We start from the raw sequence: 11010 nt of genomic DNA on the forward strand, positions 1-11010 counted from the left end.
ATTTGCAGAAATGAACTAAATGATATTTTAATGTTTTTATAAATCTCATTATTTCACAGGCTTAATAAGAGATTTAGCTAAATAAAATGTTTAGAACATTGTAAACACCCAGTAAACATTAGCTGCTCTTATTAATATTAATGGTCTTATTAGATTTAAATTTGCGAAGCTAAATCTAATCCTTTTATCACTATTTTTATTTATAGCAATTGCTTATCACTACTATTATTATGCTTATTACAGTACAGATTATCTTTACCAAATGGCTCCTAAAATTAGATAGAAGAATTTAAATAAATAAGTTAAATACTACTTTCTTTTTTTTTTTTTTTTTTTTTTTTTAAGATGGAGTTTCGCTCTGGTCGCCCAGGCTGGAGTGCAATGGCAAGATCTCAGCTCACTGCAACCTCTGCCTCCTGGGGGTTCAATCACCTCTCCTGCCTCAGCCTGCCGAGTACCTGGGATTACAGGCCACCACCACCACACCCAGCTAATTTTTGTACTTTTAGTAAAGACGAGGTTTCACCATGTTGGCCAGGCTGGTCTTGCACTCCTGACCTTAGGTGATCCCCCGATCTTGGCCTCTCAGAGTGCTGGGGTTACAGGCATAAGCCACCGCGCCTGGCCAAATACTAATTCCTTAATGTGTGCCCCAACTTCAAACAAACTTGAATTTCTATGAAAAATCCTAGTTTTATGAGAATAATTTATTTCTCTGTAGAGGGAGAAATTGTATTTGATCATATGCACATTATGAGTCAAATATTTTGAGTATAATCATAAATATGCTACAGAACTAGAAAGTAAAGGTTATACAGACCACAGGGTGATATGGAGTTTCCTGTAGTTTTCCTAAGGGGAGATGATCAAAGAAGCCAGAGATGATTTATAACTAGCCTCTGTGGTATGCTAAACAGAGAAGCTAAAGCATGTGATCGAGAAGTTGATGGGGTTTCCTGATGGAATATGCTCTGAAATGACCTTATTACGTGCACAACTAAGCCAGTGTTAATGTGTGCATCAGTGAGAGAGTTAGAAAATCTTCTTAACGAGGGTGAATGGGTTCAAAAGGCTATTTGAGGCTTTGGGGTGGTTTTTTTCTTCTTATTTTTGTTTTAAGCTTGAATTCCCTCTGAGGGTATACTCCAGTCCAGAAAGTTCAAGGGTAAGAGAGCTCAAGCAGAAAGTAATAGCCTTATTAGGACAAAGAATTAAGGGGTTAGATTTTGGGATTACTAAAGCAGCTAGAAATTCAGGGAGGGTATACCAGAAAGATGTTTTAGAAGGAGCTGCTCCAAAATCTGTATAGAAAATCATCTTAATTCTTATCTGACTCCAGAAATGTGTGTATGCAGGTAATGAATCCAAGGAATACAGTTGAAAGCAACAACTAAGAGACTGTAAGGGTTGAGCAGAATTAGTAAAAGCCATCCTTCGTGCTTTGTCCAAGTGCTTTGGAGAGGGTTTTGATAAATCCCTCTAGCTTTCCACTGAAATTCCAGAAGCACCATGATTTAGGAGTAAGAACATTCTAAGTCTAAGGAAAAATTTAAATAGTGCTCAAAAGCCTAAACTCAAGTTACCGCAGGACCAAGACAATCCTTCCATAATTTAACTGCTCACTAGAACCACATCCAGCATTCTACAAAAGAAGATAAAAGAACATCAGATCTTTCAATGTATGATTCAGAATATGAGCACAGAACAAAATACTGCTAGGAATTCAGAAAAGAAGAAAAATATGACCTATAGTCAAGAGAAAATTAGTAAAAATAGATCTCTATATATCCTAAATGTTGAAATAAGAAGACAAGAACTTTCAAGTAACTACGTCAAACACGTTAAAAAATTTGCAGAAAAAGTTAGTCAAGAATTAGCAGAAAAATATGAGGAATGTCAAACTGATTAAAAAAGCAAAGCCTTAATAACTAAACGAAGCCTGGAAGTAAAACATGTGATAGCTGAAATTAAAAAAAAAAGAAAATAGTAGTAACGATGGTAATGGTTAATTACACAATGTATAAAAAAGAATTTGTGAACAGGAAGTCAAAGTAATCAAAACTAATCAAAAGAAAAGTGATTTTTAAAACCGGCAGAATTTTGATGAATTATAAAATAGTATTAAACAGTGTAATACACATGGAATTCAGGTTTCATAAAGGAGTAAAAGAGAAAATAGTGCAAGCAAATATATTTCAAAAAATATTGAGTGAAATGTTCCCAGTGTTATTAAAACCACTAATCTATAGCTCAGTGAAGGACAAGCAGGATAAATACAGACGACATGGTATGGCTCTGTGTCCCCCCTGCTCCCCCGGCCAAATCTCACATTGAATTGTAATAATCCCCACACATCAAAAGCAAGGCCAGGTGGAGGTAATTGAATCGTGGGGGTGGATTCCTCGATACTGCTCTTGTGACAGTGAGTAAGTCTTAAGAGACATGGTGGTTTTATAAATGGGAGTTTCCCTGCACAAGCTCTCTTGCCTCTCACCGCATAAGACATGACTTTACTTCTCCTTTGTTTTCTGCCATGTTTGTGAGGCCTCCCCAGCCATGTGAAACTGTGAGTCCATTAAACCTCTTTCCTTTATAAATTACCCAGTCTCAGGTATGTCTTTATTAGCAGGGTGAGAATGAACTAATACAATAGAGAAATAAAATGTTAATGAATTTAATAATCAGACTTCTGAAAACCAAAATAAAGAAAAAAATGTAAAAGCAGCTAGAGGAAAAGACATTTTGTACCATGAACAAGAATACAAATGTTGACTTATTTTTCATTATAGAGAGTCTTGAAAGTGGAATAGCATCTTTAAAGTGCTAAAAGTAAATCGCATATTAGTTTCCAGTGGCTATGGTAACAAATCAAAGTACACATAATGACTTAAAATAGCATAAATTTATTATCTTACACTTCCAGGTGTCAAAAATCTGAAATCAATTTCACTGGACTAATGTCAAAGTGCTGGTAGAGCTGGTTTCTTATGGAGGCTTTTGGAGGTAGATCCCTTTCCTTGCCTTTTTCAGCTTTTGCCTGTATTGCTTGGCTTGTAGCCCCTTCCTTCATCTTCAAAGCTACCACCTTGTCTATGCTTCCCTCAATATAGTCTTTTTCCCTCTCTCTAACTCCTCCTGTGTTCCTTATATAAGGATTTTCACAATTACTTTGGACCTATCAGTATCATTTAGGGAAATCTCTTATTTAAAAATTATTAACTTAATCATGTATGCAAAGTCTTATTTGATCTGTAAGGTAACATTCACAGATAACTGCATGCTCCAGGGTCCATCTGCATTGTGCAAGGGCTAGACTTACTAATTAGATGGATATGTGTCAGGGCCCACAACTTCTGCATCCATTAGTACTTTAAGGGAGGCACTGTTTTCAGCCATCTGACATGCAATTTGTTTTTGATCCACTCTCTTGACTGCAAGGGTGTGTTGACTGTTTTGCCTGCTATAACAAATTACCATAGACCAGTTTGCTTATAAACACCAGAAAAGTATTACTCACAATTCTGGAGGCTAAAAGGTCTAAGATCAAGTTGCTAAGAGACTTGATGTCTGTTGAGGAGCTGTTTATCATAGACAGTGACTTCTAGTTCCATTGTCACATGGTAGAAGGCACAAATGATCTTTAAACCTCTTATAAGGTAAGGATGCTAATCCCATTCATAGGGACTCTGCCCTCATGACACAATAACTTCCCAAAGTCTTCACCTCCTAATACCATCAGCTTGGGGGTTAGAATTTCAACTTACAAATGTAGGGGGAAGACAAACACTTAGCCCACAGAAGAAGGAAAGGATCTAGTTTTGAAAAATTATATTGGCCTTCTCCATGAGTGCTCTCACACTACCAGCCAAGGAACCAATGCAGGGGTTGCAGCAACTGTCAAGTATGTCAATTCCAAGCATATACTTTGGGAGTGGGAAAATGATCACTGATGTGCTTTATAAACCAAGTAATGCAATGTTCGCCCTAATTTTGGGTCAGGACTTAATTTATAGTCTGGCCACCAAGTGTTTCTCTCAAATAGAAGGGCCATGATGATGCTTCAGATCTTCGGTTATCAATGTAAGCTCAGACCACCACCTCATCCTGTGTCTAACAGTATGTGAAATGTCGTACTATTCTCCTTTCCCTGGTGTGATGTTAACTGATAAATGGCCACAGTCCCCTTTGGGGAAAGACTGGGAGAAATCGTACTCTATCTACTTGCCATGCCGTGGCAGGACCCTTTATTCAGGGGACTCAGATGCCTCTTTAGTAAATATGCTACAGGTCTTTAAACTGGCTCAAGTACAGAAATTTGCCAAAGAATCATGCCTTTTTTTTTTTTTAATTGAGGTGACTGTCCTCACCCTTCTGGACATCCTGTGTATTTTTTTTTTTTTTTTTTTTTTTTAGATGATGTCTCCCTCTGTCACCAGGCTGGAGTGCAGTGGCACGATCTTGGCTCATTGCAACCTCTGCCTCCAGGGTTCAAGCGATTCTCCTGCCTTAGCATCCCGAGTAGCTGGGACTACAGGTGCACACCACCACACCCAGCTCATCTTTGTATTTTTAGTAGAGATAGGGTTTCACCATGTTGGCCAGGATAGTCTCGAACTCCTGACCTCGTGATCCACCCACCTCAGCCTCCCAAAGTGTTGGAATTACAGGTGTGAGCCACTATGCCAGGCCTGTAATTATTTTCTAATGTTACAAGTTGAGTATTGTTTGTTGGCTACTCATCTATTTTGCCCTTAGAAACTCTGTGTGTTTTTAAACATCCCCATAAGTCTGTGTAGGTCAGGCCATTTGTCTTCCACTTCAACCCTACTCTCATTATGACAATTTTAACTATCTAAGTTCTGGAAGTTAAGTGTCACCACAGAGTTTTTATTATTTGGGGGCCCTAGTAACCCCATTTTGGTCAGTGAGCCAAGTTTTGCAATGACTTTGCTACTGTCAGTTGTGGCTTACCTAGGAGCCAGGAAGAGTAGTGGGGTAGATTCTAAGGCGGATACAGAAATGTTAGAAGTAAAAGCCTCTTCCTGGTCTTTTTTATAATGAGGATGTGCTAGATATTAATAGCAAAGTACGGGCCACTTCTGTAGGCTCAGAGTTTGACCTTTTAAAATTTTAATGGACACCCACTCAAGGTTCCCATTATTTTCTATCCAAAGTCTTAACCTTAGCATATCAGAACTGCATGGATTTAGTGTTTTTCTTCCTCCAGAGCTCAGTTACTCTCACTGTCAAACTGTGGGTGCTTGGTCCCAGTTTGACACTACCTAGTACCAAGATCTGTCTGTACTATACTGACCATCAGTGATGGTCAGTATCTATGTGAATAGATTGGTGATAAATAATTTTTATATAACCCTTATTTTCACATTTAATTTCTCAAACATCTCACAGTAAAAATAATTGTAGGTGATTTATTTTTAGGAAACAGATACTAAGATAGGGGTTTTAATATGTAAATATATAGCAGGGATCAACTTCCTGAGAAAAGGAAGAAGAAACAGAAATATTTTGCAACAGGGGAAGCCAAATTGTGATGCAGGCCTAATAAGGCTCAGCCAATCCAAAGGGCAGCTCTGAAGCATATTTGGCTCATCAGAGTTTCTGAATTGAGCTAAAATGGGCACATGTTTAAATCCCTTTTATCAGTCTTGGGATATAGGCCATCCACAGGAAGGATGTGTCCTTTTACCAGACAGCCCTCTGCAGCTGAATCAAACCCTGATGTATCAATGTCCTCTCTTAAAGAGGGATCTAGATGGCATATCTTTCAGGTCCACTACAACATAAAACACAGGTAAGGGAACACAGTGTCAAGCACTTGAATATGTCTTCAATAAGAATATATATTACTATTCAATGAGTCTATGAGAAAAATGCTCAACATGCTTAGTCATCAGAAAGACGCAAATTAAAAACACAGAAATAAGTGATTTCATACATAGAGTGGTAAAAAATAACAACTATGAAATACGGGACAAATGTTAAAGAGGATGTGGAGCAACTTGACTTGCAAGTGTTGATGGTGGGAGGTAAAAAGTAGAACCATTTTTAAAAATTGCTTGGAAATTTCTAGTAAAACAACATTCAATTACAGTTGACCCATGAATAACACAGGTCTGAACTGTATAGATCTAGTATACACAGATATTTTCAACCAAACTCTGAACTAAAATATAGGACTTGCATAGATGCTGATTACTGTGTACCAACGCCCTGAGTATACTGAGGGACAACTGTACCTATGTCCCAGGAATACCATTCCGATGTAATTTCTCAACAGAAATAAAAGTATGTAATCACAAAAAGCCTTACATAAGAATTTTCATAGTAGCAGTAATCATAACAGCCAAGAACTGGCAATAATCCAAATGCCCATCAAAAAATGAACAGATTAAAAACTGGTGGTATATTTATACAATGAAACACTATTAAGCAAAAGTTAAAAAAAAATTTAAAAACACTTAAAATTACAATCTACTGATATGCACAGCTACATAAATGAACTTTAGAAACATTGTGGTAAGCAAAAAGAATCCACACATAAAAGAGTGTATAAATATGATGCTAAAGTATGATGCTATTTAACAAAAAGTTAAAGAAGATGCAAAACTAACGTATAAGAAGAGAAGTCAAAACAGAGGTTGTCTTAGGATGTATAATTGGAAAGAGGCTCAAAGGTACTTTTCGGGTGGTTGGATGTTACATACATTAATATAGGTTTTGGTCATGCAAAGGTATGTATTTAACAAAATTTATCAATGTGTATACTTAAAAACCTTGTGCTATGTTGTATATAGATTATTTCCTAATTAAATAAAAATATTACCCTCCCTTCAAAAATGCTAACTGCAAGTAAAAAAATTATGCATCTTGAATAGATATAAATAAATTTTAGTAAGAAAATTATTACATACATACAGGCAAGCACAAAGATTAAGAATGCAAGGACTATGTGATATTAACTGTAATAAATTCAGTTCAAAAACAATTTAAAGCAAAGGACCCTATAAAATACAATAAAAAGGAATAAAAGAGCACAACACCAAATGGTGAATTTTGCAAACATTTAAGCATAATCATTATAATATATTAGTATACATTACAAAAAAGACAGGAACTTACAAAGAAAAGTTATAAAATTAAAATAGTAGTAAGAAAATGTTATTTCTAATATGCAGTCAATGACGGAACAATATACAAAAATGGAAAACAACCTACATTATGTAATTGGTAACTTAGATTTAATTGAGTTAATTTTTTTTTGCATTCCAGGACTTACGGAATGTTTACTATGAGTATTAAAAGTCACAAAAATACCATCACCTTCAACAACAAAACAGGCTAAAGCCAATTTCAAAAAGTAGGTATATAGCATAGTAGTGGGCTCTGAAACCAGGCTGATCACAAATTCCAGCTTACTAGCCAAGTGACTTAGGGCCAGTTACACAACCTCAGTTTCAGTTTCTTTACCTAATAATATAAATGAAGAAAATAATAATAGTCTCTACTTCATAACGCTGGAAATATTAAGCAATTTGATGAATATAAAACATTAAAAATGGTGCTTAGACTAAAGTAAACCCTCTGTCAACATTATCATTACTATTATTGCAGAGTACCCTATTTATGATGATGATTGATACAATTGCAGTCATAAAATCCTAGTAAGGAAGACTTCTGCCAATAATTGAAGCATAATGTGTTGAATCACAATTTTTTTCTATGTCTTTTACCACTCACAAATTTCCTTTAATGTAGTGCATTTTCTCAAGATTCCAGGGACAAGTGGGATAGGTCTAATGTGAACGTACTTCCAACCTGCAGGTCAGTGTTTTGACCATCTCTTGCTTTTATACCACTAATATAAGGTCAATGCAGCACATGCTTCTTAACTGCTAAGAATTCGAATCTACAAGATATTGAAAGGGGCAGCAAGAACCAAGTCGAGGTGACCGTCTAATGCAAACTGGCTTACTCTGTTGTGCTCTCAGAAAGGCAAATGAGAAACTCTAACATCTAACATTCCTTTAACAGGACACATCACTTTCAATTTTTCAGAGAAAATTAAGTCTCAGTGACTTAAATCTAAGTCATTGTCACAGAACTGAGCTGTGTGACATTGAGCAAATGACTTATTAGCTATGAGTCTCAGTGTCTTCATTTGTAATGATAAAGTAAACTTGAAAAACTTACCTCTAAGAGGCAATGAAATGGATGCTATAGGATCATTAATTGCTAACTATCCTTTCCCTTCTTCTCATCCTGTGAAAAGTTACCAGATTGCACCTGATATTCAGATATAAATGACCAATGCCAGGTTATTTCTGAAGACCAAATACTTACATTCAGAATAGATACTATAGGTACTAAATTTCTAAAGGGAAAAGGAGAAATGGCTTGGGAAATGGAGGCAGAAAAGCCACACCACGTCTGTCCTAGTCTAAAGAAGTGTTTAAGAGTACAGACTCTAGATTCAGAGGATTGAGGTCCCACTTTCTGCCTTTCAAATGTACAAGTCTGGTTAATTTATTGAAACTTTCTAATACAACAAACTTATCTGTGGACTAAAGATGATAATATGTCCTACTTATTAACTTTTGTGTGAAATAGAAAATGTAGTGAATAATTAGCAGAGGGTCTGGCAAGAGATAGATACTGAGATCTCTTAGGTATTATTAACAATGTATGTTTCCTTCCAGCTCTGCATACAAAACCAGACTACAGTAAAGGGACACTTGGTCTGTTCACAAAAATAATCGTCATCACTATTTCTCTCTGGCACTACCTAGAGAAAGAATTGCCAGTCAGCGATCTGGATCTCACATCTAGATTTAATCCCATGGAAGACAACATGAAAAGCTTCTTAATAAATGAGATAAGACCTGAATCTGGGTTTTACGTTTTTCTCTAATTCTACCAGGACATGGTAAATGCTAGCTAAATAAAAAAAAAAATGCAGTTGTGTTCTGGCAGTTTACAATTATCTTGCATTTTTATAGTGCCAATTTGCAAAGCACTTTCATTTACACCACATCACAAAACCGTTAAATTGCCCTTCAAAGGCAAGTCAGAGTAGGCATTCCTATTGCTGTGATACTAATGAAACTGAGTACCAGAGATAATAAAGAGAGATAACACCAACTGAGTCTTTATTAAATGTAAAGCATTGGTCTAAATATGTTACGTACATTAACTTGCTTAGTACTCCAGCACCCCTATGAAGAAGGTACTATTGTTATCTCCATTTTACAGATGAGAAAACTGAACCCTAGAGAAGTCAAGAAACTTAAGTGTAAAGTAAGGATTTTAAGCACAAGGAGTCTAGTCCCAGAGTTCAAGTGTTTAGCACTGAACCAGCAGCCAGCAGGACTACTGTGTTGAGAGGAAGTAGAAACAGTGCACTTTAATTACTTCCAACTCACTTGTTATGAAATTAGGAAAAACATTAGTAATAATAATAATACTGAGTAATGTCACTGGCAAATAATGACTCATTGCTGTCCCTTTACACAAATGATAATAAGCTAGGATATATCATACGAAGTACACATTTCAGCAACAACAGGGATTGCAACAGCAACAGTAGCAGACAATTAAATACCTGTGGAACTTCAGGGATTCAAAAAACATGAATAAGATTTAGGACTCCTTCGAGGAACATAAAAGAAGACATGAATAAATGGAAGGACATATTTTATGACTGGATAGCAGGAGTTGGAATTGTAAAAATGATATTTCTCTCTGAACTAATCAGTGAACCTAATGTGATGCAATAAAAAAGAAAAAAAAAATTTATTTTTTCCTGAAACTAGGTGATTTGATTCCAAAATTTATATGGGAAAATCTATACGTGACATTAGCATTTAAAGTTTGAAGGGAAAAAATTTAAGAGAAGACTAGCATATTACCTATCAAAATGAGTGATCAAACTCCAGCACTTAGAATAATTTTATATTTTAGTCCTCAAGAGAGACAGATCATTAGGATAGAACATCAAATTCTAAAACATTCCCAGCTAAGTATGAGAAGTGGAGAAAGAATGAATAGCATCAAAATTACTAGCTGCAATCTGTGGTGGGTGGCATAGGAAGGAGGGCTAAAAAATCCCCAAACTAAATAAATTAAACACCCTAACCCTAATATTTCTTATTGTTTCCTTCCTCTGTTTTTTTTTTTTCCTTTCTTTTTTGGTTGGAAACAAGGTGTTGCTCTGTCTTCCAGGCTGGACTACAGCTGTGCAATTACAGCTCACAGCAACCTTGAACTCAGATGTGCTCAAGTAATCCTCCTACCTTTGACTCCTGAGTAACTGAGCCTACAGGTGCATGCCTCTGTGTCTGGCTATTTTTTCTTTCTTTCTTTTTTTTTTTTTTTTTTGTAGAGATGGGGTCATGCTTGTTGTCCAGGCTGGCTGGCCTCAAACTCCTGGCCTCAGCCATCCTCCTGCCTCAGTCCCCCAAAGCACTGGGATCACAGATATGAGTCACTGTGCCCAACCCTTCTTTTGTTTTTTATGTGAAAAATAATAAATAAAATACTTAAGTATTAAGGAGCAAAATAATAAATGATATAAAAGAAAACATAAAATATCAATGAAAATATTGATGAGAAAGGCCTCTCTGAGTAATACAGCCAAAAAGCACAAAATGATAGATACACTGCTAAATTTGACTACATAAAACATTAATATATTCTGCATCCTCAAATGGACAAAATGTCAAGCCCAACACAAACATGACGTGTCAAAAGTTATTTTCCACATAGATGGTATATTAGTCTGTTCTCATGTTGCTATAAAGAACTGCCTGAGACTGGGTAATTTATAAACAAAAGAGGTTTAATTGACTCACAGTTCAACATGGCTGGGGAGGCCTCAGGAAACTTAATCATAGTAAAAGGGGAGGCAAAACACGTCCTTCTTCATAAGGCAGCAGAAAAGAGAAGAATTAGTGTCCAGTGAAGGGGAAGCCCCTTATAAAACAATCAGATCTT

The sequence above is a fragment of the Homo sapiens genome, chromosome 4, assembly GCF_000001405.40.
Source record: "Homo sapiens chromosome 4, GRCh38.p14 Primary Assembly".
In the NCBI taxonomy this organism is placed as follows: Eukaryota; Metazoa; Chordata; class Mammalia; order Primates; family Hominidae; genus Homo; species Homo sapiens.